Below are 18,808 nucleotides of genomic sequence, written 5' to 3' on the forward strand. Positions count from 1 at the left end.
CCACCCTCTCTGGAGCTATAGAGTATTGAGGCCAATGTGCACACATTAGTTCTTTATCAGAGAAGGTTCCTTGGATTTATGTGGGTGATGGCTTTATCCTAGGGAGAAGGTACCTCTTGCTGCATACATATAACCTTCCTAAGCCTTAGGTGTAGGGAATATGATGCAATTACAGATAATGATTACAAGAGGTCCCAGACTGAGCAAGACAGAGCTTGCAAGAAATTACTCAGTTGTAGATGAATGGATTAGGAATGGAACCATGTAGAAGGAAAGAATTCAATGAGTAGGAAGTGTGCTGGTGATCTTAATCCAAGTGCTGTTAGCACACATCAGAACACTTTTCTTACTCAAGTATCAGATTCCCAGTTCTATTCAGAATCTCTACAAAGGTAGGTACTGGAAATTTTTATTAAAAATCAAAGCTACACAGTTATTTTTATTTCCATCCTTACTTAAACATTTCAGGATCAGGCAGTAGTGACCACAGCATGATGCTGTTATTTGGCTGAAGAGGAGGAAGGGATGTTAAAACTGTTAACCACTCAGTTTCTACACCAATTTTAGAAAAAAAAACTAATTCCAGGTAATCACAAACATTAAGCACACAATAATTCATCTTATGTGTTTATATGGGTGGAAAAAAACCTATAAAAATTGTATTGAATTTAAAGTTTTATGTTTCATCAGCTCCAGTGGGCATGTATTAGGCATGTGATATCTTCTTCAAAGTCTTAATCAGTGTTTTTAAGGGATGCAATGAACTAAATTAGGAATTGCAGTGTAGGACAAGCCAACAAGCTGTCCAGAAGCAAAACAACAAAATGGCCTTATCTACCTGGTTGGACCCCCACAAGCCTAGAAAAAGTCCTCAGATTTCAGCTACATCTGCAAGAGTCATCTTGTCCAAACAAAGCCAAGATGGAGTTAACTTCTACATAACCCAAGTATGTTTTCGTTGCTTTCCTCCCAAGGATGGAACTATATATGTAATCCTGAACTGTGTCCTGATTACATCTTCATTATTCCATGATGACCAGCCCCCACCACTACAACATTTTAAAAATATTATCATTGACTGATAAATAATAATTGTATACATTTATGGGATACAATGTGATATTTTTCTCTATGTACACAAAGTGGGATGATTTATTATTTTTATTTTTTTCATTTCAAATTTTATCTTGGATTCAAGTAGTACATATGCAGGTTTCTTACAGGGGTATATTGCGTGATGCTGAGGTTTGGGATACAAATGATCCTGTCATCCAGATAATGAGCACAGCACCCAACAGTTAGTTTTTCATCCCTTGCATCCATACCTCACTCCTCTATTATCCCCCATGTCTATTGTTACCATAAGTACCCAATTTTTAGCTCTCGCTTACAAGTGAGAACATGTGTTTTCTGTTTCTCCATTAAATGGCTTAGGAGAGTGGCCTCTAGCTGCATCCATGTTGCTACAAAAGGCATGATTTTGTTCTTATTTATGACTGCCTAGTATTCCATGGTATATATGTACCATATTTTCTTTACATAATCCACCATGGGAACCTAGGATGGGCACCTAGGATGATTCCATGTCTTTGCTACTGTGAATAGTTCTGTGATGAACATATAAGTGCATGCATCTTTTTAGTAGAATGACTTATTTTCTTTTGGATATAAACCCAGTAATGGGGTTGGTGAGTGAAATGGTAGTTCTAAGTTCTTTAAGAAATCTCCAAACTGCTTTTCACAATGGGTGAACCAATTTACATTCCCACCAACAATGTATAAGCATTCCCTCTCTAAGCATTTCCATTTCTCTGCAGCCTTGCCAACATCTGCTGTTCTTTGGCTTTTTAATAATAGCCATTCTGATGGTACAAGATGGTATCTCATTGTGATTTTGAGTTGCACTTCTCTTATGATTAGTGATGTTGAGCATTTTTTCATATCTTTGTTGGCCATGTGTATGTCTTCTTTTGAGAAGTGTCTGTTCATGTCTTTTCCTTACTCCTTAATGGGGTTATTTGGTTTTTGCTTGTTGAATTAAATTCCTTATAGATTCTAGATATTAGACCTTTGTCAAATGCATAGTTTGCAAATATTTTCTCCCATTTTGTAAGTTGTCTGTTTACTCTGTTGATAGTTTCTTTTGCTGTGCAGAAGTTCTTTAGTTTAATTAGGTCCCACTTAATCAATTTTTCTTTTGTTGCAGTTGCTTTTGAGGGCTTGGTCATAAATTATTTCCCAAGGCCAATGGCCAGAATGGTGTTTGCTAGGTTTTATTCAAGGATTCTTATAGTTTGAGGTCTTACATTTAAATCTTTAATCCATCTTGAGTACATTTTTGTGTATGGTGAAAAGTAGGAGTCCAGTCTCATTCTTTTGCATGTAGCTTGCCACCTATCCCAGTACCATTTATTGAAAAGGGAGTCCTTTCTTCATTGTTTATTTTTGTCAACTTTGTAAAGATTAGATGGCTGTAGGTCTGTGGCTTCATTTCTGGGTTCTCTATTCTGTTCCACTGGTCTATGTGTCTGTTTATGTACCAGTACCAAGCTGTTTCAGTTATGGTGGCCTTATTGTATAGTTTTTAGAGTTGGGTAATGTGATGTTGTTTTTGCTTTGTTCTTTTTGCTTAAGATTGCCTTGGGTATTCAGGGTCTTTTTGGTTCCATATGAATTTTAGCATAATTTTTCCAATTCCATGAAAAATTACATTGGAAGTTTGATAGGAATAGCATTGAATCTATAGATTGCTTTGGGCAGTGTGGCCGTTTTCGATATTGATTCTTCTAATCCATGAGCATGAAATGTTTTTCCATTTGTTTGTATCATCTGTGATTTCATTCAGCAGTGTTTTGTAGTTCTCCTTGTGGAGATCTTTCATCTCCTTGGTTAGATGTATCCCTAGGTATTTTATTTTTGTGTGTGGCTATTGTAAATGGGATTGCACTCTTGATTTGGCTTTTGGCTTGAATGCTATTGGTGTATAGAAATGCTACTAATTTTTGTGCATTGATTTTGTACCCTGAAACTTTACTGAAGTTGTTTATCAGTTCCAGGACCCTTTGAGCAGAATCTTTAGGGTTTTCTAGGTATAGAGTCGTATAATCAACAAAGAGAGATATTTTGACTTCTTTTCCTATTTGGATGTCTTTTATTTCTCTTCTCTGATTGCTCTGGCTAAGACTTTCAGTACTATCTTGAATAGGAGTGGTGAGAGTAAGCATCACTGTCTTCTTTCAGTTCTCAAAGGGAATGCTTCCAACTTTTGCCCATTCAGTGTGATGTTGGCTCTAAGTTTGTCACAGAAGGTTCTTATTATTTTGAGGTATGTCCCTTTGATGCCTAGTTTGTTGAGGGTGTTTATCATGAAGAGATGTTGGATTTTACCAAAGGCTTTGTCTACATCTATTGAGATGATATATGGTTTTTGTTTTTAATTGTGTTCATGTGGTGAATCACATTTATTGATTTGCATATGTTGAAACAACCTTGCATCCCAGGAACGAAATCTATTTGATTGTGACGAATTAACTTTTTGATATATGCTGCATTCAATTTGCTAGTATTTTGCTGATGATTTTTTGCATCTTTCCTCCTCAGTAATATTGCCCTGTAGTTTTCTTTTTGCATCATGTCTTTGCCAGGTTTTGTTATCAGGGTGATGCTGGCTTCATAGAATTAGTTAGGGAGGAGTCCCCCTTGATTTTATGAAAATTGTTTTAGTAGAATTGGTACCAGCTCTTATTTGTACATCTGGTAGAATGCAACTGTAAATCCATCTAGTCCAGAGCTTTTTTTGATTGGTAAGTATTTGGTTCCCAGTTCAATTTTGGAACTCAATATTGGATTGTTTAGGGTTTCAGTTTCTTCCTGATTCAATCTTGGGGGGGTTGTATGTTTCCAGAAATTTACCCATTTCCTCTAAATTTTCTAGTTTGTGTGCATAGAGGTGTTCAGGATAGTCTCTGAGGATCTATTGCATTTCTGTCACAACAGTTATAATGTCATCTTTGTCATTTCTGTTTGTGATTACTTGGATCTTCTCTCCTTTTTTCTTTGTTAATAAATACAGAGCAGTTTATGCATTCTGCAAAGTCAAACTGGATCTATTCTAGCTCCTCCTGACCCAAAGGAGGGAGAGAACATGGTCCAGGTGACTAAGGATTCTTGACTTTGCTTTTTCCATGCAGGATAATGACTGAACACATCCTCTGCCCTACATAATTTTGCCTTAGGGATCTTTCTTGAATCCATTTCTATGATACTTAACACCCACTGCTGACTTCCTTCTCCCTTGGCACCTTTACTCTAAAAGTCAGAAAGGCTTACTATTATCTTTTTAAGCCTCACTTGCAGCTGGGGTGCTCATGGAAATAGTTCCTGTCAATAAGAATAAGTGTAAGTTTTCTAGGGGCTCTGGGAAGGGTTTTGCTTTTAATACAAAGGGGCCTAAAGGCAGCATCTGCCTTGAATGTGGTCACTACGTTGTGACCATGAGGGGATAAGCATGGTAGAATGACCGAGGAAATTGTACACAGGCCAGTATGGCAGGCCAAGTCACTGACATGGGCTATTTCAAACTACTGTTACGCTTAATTTTAATCTTCCATCTACAGTCAGACAAAGCTAGTATACCCTGCTTTTCCCAGAGCCGAGCTGGAGAGCAGGGTGTATGCACAAGGCCCTGACAAGGGCACACAGGATCTACTAGTCAGTGCCACCAGAATGACTTCTCACTGCCTATGCCTGTGACTAAATGTCATCAAATGATATGTGAACAAACCCAGATATACTCTTAGTTGTGGATGGTGCAAAAGATTGCTAATGAAAGGGTTATTTTTTTGAAGTGTTTAAGTCCACCAAAATTACATCTCAGATTTGAAATATCATGAAGAGTCTCCAAAAAAAGGTAAAATCATCTGATCAACTGCTGCCCTTGCTCACATTAGTAATCACATTTAGTACAAGTATATTTTCCTAGATGGATGTCTAATTGTGACTGTGAAATATCATTAATGAGGTGGACGGATCACAAGGTCAGGAGATCAAGACCATCCTGGCTAACACGGTGAAACCCCGTCTCTACTAAAAATACAAAAAAAAAAAAAAAAATTAGCCTGGCGTGGTGGCAGGCCCCTGTAGTCCCAGCTACTCTGGAGGCTGAGGCAGGAGAATGGTGTAAACCCGGGAGGAGCAGCTTGCAGTGAGCCAAGATTGTGCCACTGCACTCCAGCCTGGGTGACAGAGCGAGACTCTGTTTCCAAAAAAAAAAAAAATCATTAATGTAATATGTGCAGTCATGAGTCACCAAATCTACATTAAGAAAATGTCAGCCGGGTGCAGTGGCTCACGCCTATAATCCCAGCACTTTGGGAGGCCGAGGTGGGCGGATCACGAGTTCGGGAGTTTGAGACCAGCCAATATGGTGAAACCTCATCTCTATTAAAAATACAAAAATTAGCCAGGTGTGGTGGTGCACGCCTGTAGTCCCAGCTACTCGGGAGGCTGAGGCAGAAGAATCGCTTGAACTGGGGAGGCAGAGGTTGCAGTGAGCTGAGATTGCACCACTGCACTCCAGCCTGGGTGACAGAGCAAGACTCCATCTCAAAAAAAAAAAAAGAAAATGTCTGACTTAGCAGAACTATCTTTGGAGATATGATCTAAACTATGGTAATTCTAAATCCATGTAATGGTAAGTCAAATTAAAGTGATATCTTGTTGAGATTATAAATTGCATCATATTTTGTTTATCCATCATTTCTCATTGAATGGTAGATTATTTTATACTAATAAAAAATTAAAGTCCAAAAAAGTGATGCAATCTGGCCTAGACCATCAGGCAGCTAGTGGCACAATAATTCATAAAACTCGACCTGTGACTTTAAAATCATCACCCTTTTATTGTTTGACACTGTCTCTCAACTGTCTTGAGTCTTGCTTCAGCTTCACTTTGCAACTTATTTTTTTCCCCAAAGACCACTGAAGTATTTTCAAAGATTGGAGCCTGCACAAGGGAGATGGGGATGAACTGATAATTCCTCTTATAGTGCTTTTTAGGATCGAGGGCGACCTGATTACCTAAACAGCTACAACTGGCTCTCAACTAGCACAGAAGCAAATCAATACAGAGTGGCTTCCATATCACCAAAGAAACATGGTCCCACCACAAATAATTGCATTGTAATGAGAAAGATGGCTATATAGTGTGGAAAAAAATTAATCAGGAAACAAAGGCAAGGCTTTGAATGCCACAGAAATGAAGGCTAGCAGGAGCTTACAGGGGAGAATGATTTACTTACAAGGTGTTAGCAACATAAGGAAAGAACAACTGAAATACACGTGGAACAGGGTCCTGGCTGCAGTGATAATACTATAAGTAATAATAATAAATAGTAAAAATCCAGAATGCTTATTGAGTTATTACTGTGCTCTAGACACTCTTCTAAATTCTTTACACGCAGTAATTTAATACAAGCAATAATGCTAGAGTTGGTATTGGTAATATTTTATTCCATTTCATCAACCATATTGTCACTTCCACTTTCCAAATGAGCAACCTGAGTAAAAAGAGATTAAATGGCTTAGGTTGTTTACAAATCAGGTATGTGGTGGAGCTGGAATCCAACCAATTCGACACAGACCCTTTCACTTAACCATTATGTTATTCTAATTCTCACAATTAGCTGAATGTCCTTGAACTCATGTTTCCCTCTCAGCTTCACTAAAAAGCAGCTCTGCTGGAAAAACTGTGGAGCCCAGGTTCTTCAAAAGGTTCTGGGGTTGGACTAGTAAGTAAACTGTGGTTTACTTACGAAGACTGGGCAAATTTAGGGATAACTTAAACTAAAACACAAATCATAATCAATGTCCACCTTAGCCCTTGAGTATTCGCAATAGTTGACCCTTGAACATGGCTTTGAATTGCACAGGTCCACTTATGCATGGATTTTCTTCCACCTCTACCACCCCTCAAACAGCAAGACCAACCTTTCCTCTTCCTCCTCTTCCTCAGCTTGCTCAACATGTAAAACATGAGGATGAAGACTTTTATGATGATCCACTTCCACTTAATAAATACTAAATATATTTTCTTTACCTTATGATTATCTTAATAACATTTTCTTTACCTTATGATTTTCTTAAAAACATTTTCTTTTCTCTAGCTTAATTTATTGCAGAAATGTAGTCTATCATCCATATAACATACAGAATATATGTTAGTCAAGTATTTCTGTTATCAGTAAGGCTTCCAATCAACAGCAGGCTACTAGTAGTTAAGTTTTGGGGAAGCCAAAAGTTATACACAGATTTTAGACTGCATGGAGTTGGGGGTTGGCATCCCCGTATTCTCTTGATAGAGATGGGGAAATGCTGAGGTATGAATCCAGGTAGCATAGCACACACTTCCTCCTTCTAAACATCTTCAGGAATAATCTTTCAGGCTGTCATGCAATTGAACTTGAAGATATCTCCTTGCTGGACTAGCAATTTTAAATAAATTAATTATTTAAAAGTTATAAAAGAAAACATATGTATAATATACATATAATATATCATGTATATTAGCCAACTAATTCTTTTATAAAAGGTATACAAATAAACTAAGGTAAGAAAGAAATTAATAACAACAAAGGCTTCTATTTTAAAATGGCATTGGCTCAATACACTTTGATTCAGTTTTTTTTATGGAACTACCACATGTGTGAAGTTATATCAGCTATTATTTATTTATTTAGGTATTTTGTGTTTCCATTTGTAAACTGTAAGTCTCAAGAGAACACCAACCTTTCCATTTCTATACTATCCTGAATCCCCAGTTTCTTCAACAGTGCTGAAGATTTTAAAAGTACCTTAAATAAATATTTGTCAAATGAACCAAAAGCAGATATTAGAAAACAAAAAATTTAACTCAGGTGAATTCGTAAAAAATTAACAGTAAATGAAATTTTAGTTAGCTCATTTAAAATAAAAAGAAAAAATAGAAATGTGTTAAATTGTGAGCAATACAAGCAGTAGAATGACATATAAAGATATAATTTTTAGAATGAGAAAATGTTATAAATACAGTGTGTATTAATTAATTTGAAAATCCTGTTGCAATGGAGGATCTTTGAAAAAATAAAATGTAAGACCTCCAACTATAAGAAACCTTGAAGCAAACGCCATTCCGGACACTGGCCTTGTAAAAGAATTTATGACTAAGCACTTGAAAGCAATTGCAACAAAACAAAAATTGATTAAGTGGGACATAATTAAACTAAAGAGCTTCTGCACAGCAAAAGAAACTATCAACAGAGTAAACAGACAACCTACAGAATGGGAGAAAATATTTGCAAACTGTGCATTTGACAACGGTCTAATATCCAGAATCTATCAGGAACTTAAACAAATTTACAAGAAAAAGTCAAATAACCCCATTAAAAATAGACAAGCGATATGAACAGATGCTTCTCAAAAAAGGACATACATGTTGCCAATGAACATTAAAAAAACGCTCAATATCACTAAACATCAGAGAAATGCAAATCAAAACCACAATGAGATACAATCCCACACCAGTCAGAATGGCTATAGTCAGAAAACAACAGATGCTGTCAAGGCTGCAGAGAAAAGGGAACACTTATACATTCGTGTGGGGACTTAAATTAGTTCAGCCACTGTGGAAAGCAGTTTGAAGATTTCTTAAAGAACTTAAAACAGAGCCACTCTTTGACCCAGCAATCCCCATTACTGGATATAACCCAAAGGAAAATAAATCGTTCTACCAAAAAGACACACGTGAACTCCCATGTTCATTGCAGCACTATTAATAACAGCAAAGACATGGAGTCAACCTAGGTGCCCATCCCTGGGAGACTGATAAAGAAAATGTGGTACATATACATTATGGGATACTACACTGCCATAAAAAAGAATGCACTCATGTGATTTGCAGGGACATGGATGCAGCTGCAGGCCATTAAGCTAAACAAAATAATGCAGGAACAGAAAGCCAAATAGTACATGTTCTCACTTATAAGTGGGAGCTAAACTTTGGGTACTCATGGACATAAAGATGGCAAGAATAAACACTGGAAGTAATAGAGGGGGGCAGGAAAAAGAGGCACAAGGGTTGAAAAACTAACTGTTGGGTACTATGCTCACTACCTGGGTGATGGGATCAATCATACCCCAAACCCTCACATGTACCCCCCACATATACCCCCTGAGTCTAAAATAAAAGTTGAAATTATAAATAAAATAAAATTTCAATGTAAGAAAGAAATATACTTTCAAACCACGAGTCATATCACACTCCATTTTAAAACACATTCCTGTGAAAGTTAGGTTTAAGACAAGGATAGCTTCTAATACCATTATTATTTAACATTAATTGTTATGGATAATCCAATGCATGCAAATAGAAATACACATTTAATGTTATAAATATTGGAATAAAAGAGAAAGTTACCAATACTAATATCCAATTTTTTAAAGAAAATGGAGGAGAATCAACCAAGAAATCTATTGGAATTGTAAAAATGTTTAGTTACCTAGTAACATAAAAATATGTAATAATTAATGGTTTCTCTGTAAGCAGCAGTTGCTTAAAAATTATCATGAAAAAATAATGCTAACATTATAAATACAAAATATGAAAAGCAATCAAAGATCTTTAAAAATTAAAAAAACTACTATATACATGAACTAATGATAACCTCAATATATAAAGAATTTTTAAAAGCGAATGGAATTTTTAATGTATTTACTTTGTCCAAATTTCCATTGAAACCAAAGTAGAAAATGGATAAATAATAAATATAAATTATAAACTAAGAACACAGACTAGCAAATGAATACACAAACATGTTCAATTTCACTTCTATGCAAATAAAAGTTAACAAATTCAGAAATGAGATGTTATTTTCAATCTATTAAATGGTCAACATTTTAAAAATGCATATACACTTATGAGTAGTTGATGATAATGGCAGCTGCTTAAATCCACACCTCCCTACATATCTTCCAAAAATACAGAATATAACAGAAGAAAAAATAAAACTCTCCAAACCCACATAGTAGACATAACTAGAAATAAGAAAATATCTAAACTTCAAGTTACCTGTAAACACAAAATTTAACACCAAATCCTAACCCACCTCATGCTCCCAGTGAGCAAAGATTTTCATGGAAAGACAGAAGGGAATAGAAGCAGGCAGACTTAAGATTGATCTAAAACCAAGGACAGAGCCCTTAACACAGGTATGTATGACTTGAGGTAGCTATCTTTGAAAGCCATGGCTTCTTGGGTAAAAGTTAAGTGAAAAGGAAGGGAGAGGAACCTTTGGAGATCTTGAAGTTAAAAAAAAAAAAGAAAGAAAAAAAGAAAAATTTGGATCCTGCAAAAGAAAAAGACTAAAATATCAGAAAGCATACAATTCCTCCTCATGTAGCCAGGCAATATAAAAATGCAGGAGGAGGAGAAACAAAGAGCTTTCAGGACAAAGAGTAAAATTGGCTTTAGTAAGCTAACGCTATAAAGAAGCAAAGCAGTCATGTAATGAAATTTTACCGTACATCACAGACAGATGAGGGGCACTTGTGACCTAAAAATGTTATAAACTATCCAAAATAATGAAATGAATAGATTAAACTAGGCTATATTCAAAACTACTATAAAATGAAATAGAAAATGAGAATCAAAACCCCTTAGCTGATGGAAATCTCTGCCCCTGCCCATCAAAAGTAAAAATACACAAGAAGTAAATAAAAATGGTAACACAACATTACAAACTGATATATATAAATATATAAATATAAATATATAAATATATAAATATATATAATATATAAATATATAATATATATACACATATATAAATATATATATCCATATATAATATATATATATCCATATATATATTATATATATATCCTTAAGCACTTCAGGGGAGTTTAAAACCACATTGAATCAGAAATTCAAAAATTTACAGAAAGGGACATAATAACACACCAGGAAGAAATGAAAAGATATTTGATTGAACTCAGAAAAGAAAGAAAAGAAAAAACTGATTTTGGAAATGAAGACTAAAATAAACATAGCCAAGGTAACAATAGATTAAAATGAAATGTAATAAGGGCCTTGAATAAAGGCAGTAAAGCAATCAACAAAACAAAGTTCAAGAAAATCTATTCACACGTAGTTGAAATGAAACACAGGCAAAGAAGAAATATCGTTTCTTTTACAAGTATGTAAAATTTGAATCTCTAAAACAGAAAATAAAACAATAGAATAGAATTAGTATTTAAAACAAGTTTAGAAAAAATTTCTGTAAATATAGAAATGCTGAAAGCATTCACCAGATTCCTAGAAAAATTTACACAGCTTAATCAATCCTAAGACATAGCCCAGTAAAACTATTAAGGTTTGAAGATAAAAACAAAAAATCTTCAAGTTTTTAAACTAAAAAGATTAATACTTTACAAGGGAAAAAGTCTTAATTCAGCATCAGACTTCTCAAAATAATCATACAATGTAGTGCATTTTCAAAACACTCAGAAAACACATACCAAAAAATTTTATCCATTCAAATTGTCCTTCAAATATCAATGCTATTAAAATATGTTTAAAAGTGCAAGATCCAAGGAATGCTATACTCACAATCCCTTTGTGGAGTTGATGAGAAAATACTCAAACAAAAAAAGATAAAGAAACTTGGGCAAAAAGCTAAGTGGAAAGCATTTAATAAATTTAATTATAGATCTAAGAAAATAAAGCTGGGAATGAGGATGCAAGTATAATATATGAATGCTATATGTTCTGACAAAATAAAAATGATACAATCAGAAAAGCTACAGGGAACGTCTGCTTCTGGCAATAATAAACTAGCTAAGACCAGTTTTACCCTCGATCATGAACTATTAGAAAATTGGACAAAATAAATGAAATAATAGTTTTTAAAAATTGAACAATCAAGGCAAAACTGTGACTTTGGGGGAAAGAAAACTAAAATTAAGAGAACCTTATGATTACTTGTTAGACTCTGGTTCATGGAAAAGGATCCCAAAAAGATCACAGTGGTCTCACTAGATTGAAAAGGATCAGAATAAAATTCAGGAGACTAGACAACTAGAGTTTTCAGTGAAGAGTTCTGGAAGTAAAAAAGCCTTGGCAAAGAAAAAGCTCCAGAGACCACCAAAAGGGTTCCGTTGTAGCTGTTGCTAAATACTAAGCCACACGTGCAGAATGCTGAAGCTTCATGGGTCCAAGCAAAGAAGAATAGAGAGTACAAGCCCAACTATTCCCAAAGCTCGCAAAGGCTTGGGAGACATTTGGGAGACATTCAAGCAACCAAAGTGGAATATCTTCACTGACTATCCAGAGCATTTATTAGATACCTATGAACTGTCAGATAGCAGTAGGATAAATGTAAAAGAAATGATGGAGTTAGAAAATCACTGAAGTAGTTTCGTTGTCTGGGGAAATACCTGTGGTTCGTCATCTCATGTCACACAGATTAAGGACATGGACTCACACACATGGAGCGGGTTAAGGAGCAGAAAGTTTAATAGGCAAGAAAGAAGAGAACAAATCCCTTGTACAGAGCTGTGTGTGTGTGTGAGAGAGAGAGAGAGAGAGAGAGAGAGCGAGCGTGAGAGCACAAGCAAAAAAATTATTTTAAGGAATTGACTCATGCAATATTGGGGATGCCACATCTGAGATCTGCAGGGCAGGCAAGAAATTCTGGCAGGAGTTGTTGTAGGCTCGAGTCTGAATGAAGACACTATGGAGGCAGAATTCCTTTCTTTTCTGGGGAACTCAGTTTTTTAATGTTGACAGCCGATTGAATGAGGTCCACCCACATTACATAAGGTAATCTGCTTTACTCAAAAGGTATTGATTGAAATGTTAATCACATCTAAAACTACCTTCACATTAACATCTAGATTGGTATTTGACCAAACAACTGGGTACCGTGGCCTAACAAAGTTGACACATGAAGTAAAACATCACAGGGTAGCAAGAGGGAGTTCCTTGGTAGTGACTGATCAGTCACATGTTTTGATTATGGTGGTGGTTACAAGAATCTATACATGGAATAAAATTGCATAGAACTACACACACACACAGCGACACATGAATACATGAAAAAACAGTGAAAACTGAACAAATTCTACAGTCTTGTTAATAGTATTGAACCAATGACAACGTTGTGGTTTTGATATTATGCTACCATAACACAAAATGTCATAATTAGAGGAAGCTGATGAGGGGTACATGATACTCTATATATTATTTACTTTGATTCTATAGTTATTTCCAAATAAAAAATTTTAATAACTTTATGGATGCTCAAGTTCTTTCTTTTCAAGATGGCCGAATAGGAACAGCTCCAGTCTGCAGCTCCCAGCGAGATCGACACAGAAGGCAGGTCATTTCTGCATTTACAACTGAGGTACCCAGTTCATCTCATTGGGACTGGTTGGACAGTGGGTGCAGCCCACCGAGGGCGAGCCGAAGCAGGGTGGGGCATTGTCTCACCCAGGAAGCACAAGGGGTCAGAGAATTCTCTCCCCTACCCAAGGGAAGCTGTAAGGGACTGAGCCTGAGGAACGGTGCACTCCAGCCCAGACACTGGGCTTTTCCCACAGTCTTTGCAAACCACAGACCAGGAGATTCCCTCCAATACCTGTGCCACCAGGGCCCTGGGTTTCAAGCACAAAACTGGGAGGCCATTCAGGCAGACACCAAACTAGCTGCAGGAGTTTTTTTTTTTCTTTCTAGACCCCTGTGGCACCTGGAATGCCAGCGAGACAGAACTGTTCACTCCCCTGGAAAGGGGGCTGAAGCCAGGGAACCAAGTGGTCTGGCCTGGCAGGTCCCACTCCCATGGAGCCCAGCAAACTAAGATCCACTGGCTTGAAATTCTCGCTGCCAGCACAGCAGCAGTCTGAAATCGACCTGGGACGCTCCAGTTTGGTTGGGGGAGGGGCGTCCGCCATTGCTGAGGCTTGAGTAGGCGGTTTGACCCTCATAGTGTAAAGAAAGCTGCTGGGAAGTTCGAACTGGGCAGAGCCCACCACAGCTCAGCAAGGCCGCTATGGCCCGACTGTCTCTCTAGTTTTCTCCTCTCTGGGCAGGGCATCTCTGAAAAAAAGGCAGCAGCCCCAGTCAAGGACCTATAGATAAAACCCCCATCTCCCTGAGACAGAGCACCTGGGGGAAGGGGCGGCTGTGGGCACAGCTTCAGCAGACTTAAACGTCCCTGCCTGATGGCTCTGAAGAGAGCAGCAGATCTCCCAGCATGCTGTTCGAGCTCAGCTAAGGGTCAGACTGCCTCCTCAAGTGGGTCCATGACCCCCATGTATCCTGATTGGGAGACACCTCCCAGGAGGGGCTGACAGACACCTCATACCGGAGAGCTCTGGCTAGTATCTGGCAGGTGCCCCTCTGAGACAAAGCTTCCAGAGGAAAGAACAGGCAGCAATCTTTGCTGTTCTGCAGCCTCCGCTGGTGATACCCAGGCAAACAGGGTCTGGGGTGGACCTTCAGCAAACTCCAGCAGACCTGCAGCAGAGGGGCTTGACTGTTGGAAGGAAAACTAACAAACAGAAAGGAATAGCACATCCACTCAGAGACCCCATCCGAAGGTCACCAACATCAAAGACCAAAGGTAGATAAATACACAAAGATGGGGAGAAACCAGTGCAAAAAGGCTGAAAATTCTTTTCAACAGTTTAAAAATGTAGACATAATTCTTAGTTTGGGGGACACGAAAATACAGGTAGTGGGCTAGATTTTGCCAAAAGTTATTATTTACTGACCATTAAATTCAATAATAGTATTGTAACTGAATGATGATAATTGTATTATGGTTATGGTAAAAGAATGTCTTTGATGCTAAGAAGACAGAGTAAAATACTACGGAGTAAAGAGACATAGTATCTACAACTTACTGTCAAATAGCTGTATATAAATAAATATAATATACACACATACATGTATATATAAAGAGAAAGAAAGGGTAAAACAAGCGTGGTAAGATGTTAATATCTAAAGATTCTGGGTGAAGGATTAAAGGAAATTCTTTTGTGATTCTTGAAACTTCCTATAAGTCTAAAATTATTTCAAAATAAAAGACATTTTTCCCAGTACTTGCTTAAAATAATCTGGAGAAAAGGGATAACTAAGTACAGATAATAATAAAACAATGAGCTCCTAATTAAAGATAAGTGGCACACGAGGTTTAATTAAAAAATTATTTTTCTTTTAACTAAAATTTTCCAAAATTAAATGTTTATACACACACACACACACACACACCAGAGCTGTAACAATATGGGGAAGCCCTTAGAGTATCATTAACAAAGCATGATATAATTTAGGGGAGGGGATATAATTTAACAAGAGAAGTTAAAAATTTATATCACTTCTCATAATAATTTAATTTTCTATAATTTATTCTGTAAAAACCTAAAAAGTTGCACATACATTTAAAAAATACTTTCCAAGTAGTAATTCCAGTTGTTCATAGTACATAACAAAAAGTGATTAATTTTATGACTCCAAATTAGTGAGAGAAATAATAAAATTTTAACAGTTGTTTGCTATAGGAGGTAGCAATAGTGATAACATTTTTTACTTTTTTATACTTCTCCACAATTTTTAAAATTTTCTAAAATATTTATTATTCGTCACAAAGTCATACATGTAATAATCTTTTGAGATTTCTCAATTTTCTGGGAGGACAGATTAGTTTTAAAACTTAATTTTCTGAGCATTCATCAACATGAATAGAACTTGTCTAAACTGGAACAATATTGTACCAACTTTTTGTAAAGCAGTGGAAAGCATTTGTATCAACTTTTATAAATAAATAATTCAATCTGATATAAACACAGGTATGAGATGCTGGCCCTCTTCCCCTTATGGAAAAAAATAAAATAAAATGCTTAAGAGACAACAGAAGCAGGACCTTGTCATACTGACATGTTCCTAAAAGCTGAGTGCCATAAGTCAAAGTTGGGAAAAAGCTAAACTAGGGTCAGAATGACACATAGGGCTCATCCCAGTGGGAGTGGGCAGAAGTTAAAAAGCCTCACCCACAGAGTGTGGTGCACACTTGTCCTAATCGAACCAAAACCAGCATCCAGTGTGATTCAAGTTAAGTAAAAGGAGGGATCCACAGCTAGAGGTTTATTGTACAGCCCATGCTTCCTGGTAGGATAGTAGGAGTGCAGCAGGACTTCAGTGACTAGATCATCTAAGCCTAAACCAAGAAAGTGGATTGGCTGGGCATAAACCCCCCATGTAGGAGGACGGGGGTCATGTCATGGCTCTAAAACCAACAGAAAAAGGAAATTTACATAGGAAATTAAGGCTAAAAGCAGCTGTAAAAACGACTGGTGATGTGCAGCAAGGATATGCTGTGCTTGGCCATGTCAGAAGAATCCACAGAAAAAGAAACAAAAAGGATTGTAATAGGTTTACTGAAGAGTTTAAACTCACTGGAATGTAAAATGAAATACTTTTCCTATAACAGTCACTAATTTCAGCCTTTTTGGAGAATGAATTGTCTCAAAAATGTCTGGTTTATCTTGTTGATGTCCCAAACGCTTCTGGTTATTTTCAGCGTAAAATACTCATCCTCCAGCCCCCTTCTAGACCTGTTGACCTGTTCCTCTGTTATCTACAGCCTAGAGAGGGAAAGCTCAGCAAGCCCCATTCACCAAGCCAGATGTCAGCTTCTCTTCCTTTGCAGGCACCCAAAACCTCAAGAGTTTTTTTTGCAGTACCTTCTTACTCGCTTTTTTGCAGTACCTTCTTACTTGACTTAGATTAGAACAGTGTTTCCAGTCTTCCACAGGATTCAGATGTTTTCTTTATACAAATATGTGGGAGAATGAGCAAGCAGGTGTGGTGATTGACAATGGTAGGAAGATTTATGAAAGATATATGGACCCAAATAATTGGTGGCTTACAAAAATAAGATGTGCTAGCTAGTATCCTTTGTCTTCACTTTGGAGTCCTTACTTCAGTTCCTCAGTTGGGACTCATAGGAAAAGTCAATCTCAACGTTCTCTACAAAGGAAACTACAATGAACTTGGCACATTATGTCAGGTATTTTGTGCAACTTACTGAATCTTTACAATAACACTGGGAGCAGGGTTTATTTACTCCCTTTTTGGAAATAAGGAAACTACAGTTTTAAAAACATGAATAAACCTGCCTGATACTACTAAAGTAGTTTTGAATTTATACTCCTCCCATCTATTTTCAAAGCTTTTGTTTGGTGTTTTCTACTGTGTTGCCACAAATACACCAGATATACTTGTTTTGGATATTGCCAGAGAAAATAACTGAAGGAATTTATTGTCTTCACGAGATCTGGGTCAGAACCCATTCGAATCTGTTTACTGTTAGAATTTCAGTAACAGCAGATTACTGTCCTCAGTGATTCTAGATGATCAAAGGTAGTGAAGGCAAAGAATAAAAATCTCTCCTCATAATTTTGCTTTTCTCAGATAAAGTCCTCAATAGTTGCACAATAATGCCATTTCTATGCTGCTTCTTTTAATTTTAAATGACAAAAATTGTACATATTTATGGTACACAAGATGATCTTTTAATACAAGTATTGTATTAGTCCATTTTCATACTGATATGAAGAAATACCTGAGACTGGGTAATTTATAAAGAAAAAGAGGTTTAATGAACTCACAGTTCCACATGGCTGTGGAGGCCTCACAATAATGGCAGACGTCAGAGGAGGAGCAAGATGAGATTTGGGTGGGGACACAGCCAGACCCTATCATTCTGCCCCAGCCCCTTCCAAATCTCATGTCCTCACATTTCAAAACCAATCATGCCTTCCCAACAGTCCCCCAAAGTCTTAACTCATTTCAGCATTAACTTAAAAGTCCATGGTCCAAAGTCTCATCTGAGACAAGGCAAGTCCCTTCTGCCTATGAGCCTGTAAAACCAAAAGCAAGTTAGTTACTTCATAGATACAAAGCGCATATAGGCACTGGGTAAATACACCCATTCCAAATGGAAGAAATTGACTAAAACAAAGGGCTACAAGCTCCATGAAGTCCAAATCCAATAGGGTAGTCATTAAACCTTGAAGTTCTAAAACGATCTCCTTTGACTCCATGTCCAGGTCACACTGATGCAAGAGGTGGGCTCTCATGGCCTTGGGCAGCTCCACCACTGTGGCTTTGCAGGGCACAGCCTCCCTCTCGGTTGCTTTTACAGGCTGGCTTTTCTAGATGCATGGTGCAAGATGTTGGTGGATCTACCATTCTGAGTTCTGGAGGACAATGGCCCTCTTCTCACACCTCAACTAGGCAGTGCCCCAGTGGGGACTTTGTGCGGGGCCTCCAACCCCACATTTCCCTTCTGTGCTGTCCTAGCAGAGGTTCTCCATGGGGGCCCTGCCCCTGCAGCAAACTTCTGCCTGGACATCCAGATGTTTCCATAAATCTGAAATCTAGGCAGAAGTTCCCAAACCATTCTTCACTTCTGTGCACCTGCAGGCTCAACAATATGTGGAAGCTGCCAAGGCTTGGGGCTTGCACCCACTGAAGCCATAGCCCAAGCTTTACCCTGGCCCCTTTTAGCCATGACTAGAGCAGCTGGGACACAGGGCAACAAGTCTTTAGGCTGCACACAGCAGGGTGGCCCTGAGCCTGGCTCAGGAAACCATTTTTTCCTCCTAGGTCTCCAGTCCCGTGATGGGAGGGGCTGCCAGGAAGGTCTCTGATATGCCCTGGAGACTTTTTCCCCACTGTCTTGGCAATAACATTTGGCTCCTCATTACTTAT

General features: G+C 37.5%; 1 annotated feature.

The window, feature by feature from the left end:
* Positions 12,115–12,333: a silencer, noted in NCBI's record as "fragment chr9:107280917-107281135 (GRCh37/hg19 assembly coordinates)". NCBI's record gives its function as "represses an EF-1alpha promoter that drives an FKBP-Casp9 reporter gene in an ReSE screen in K562 erythroleukemia cells {active_cell/tissue: K562}" and the evidence as "EXISTENCE:reporter gene assay evidence [ECO:0000049][PMID:32094911]".

This window comes from Homo sapiens, chromosome 9, assembly GCF_000001405.40.
Source record: "Homo sapiens chromosome 9, GRCh38.p14 Primary Assembly".
NCBI classification, from domain to species: Eukaryota; Metazoa; Chordata; class Mammalia; order Primates; family Hominidae; genus Homo; species Homo sapiens.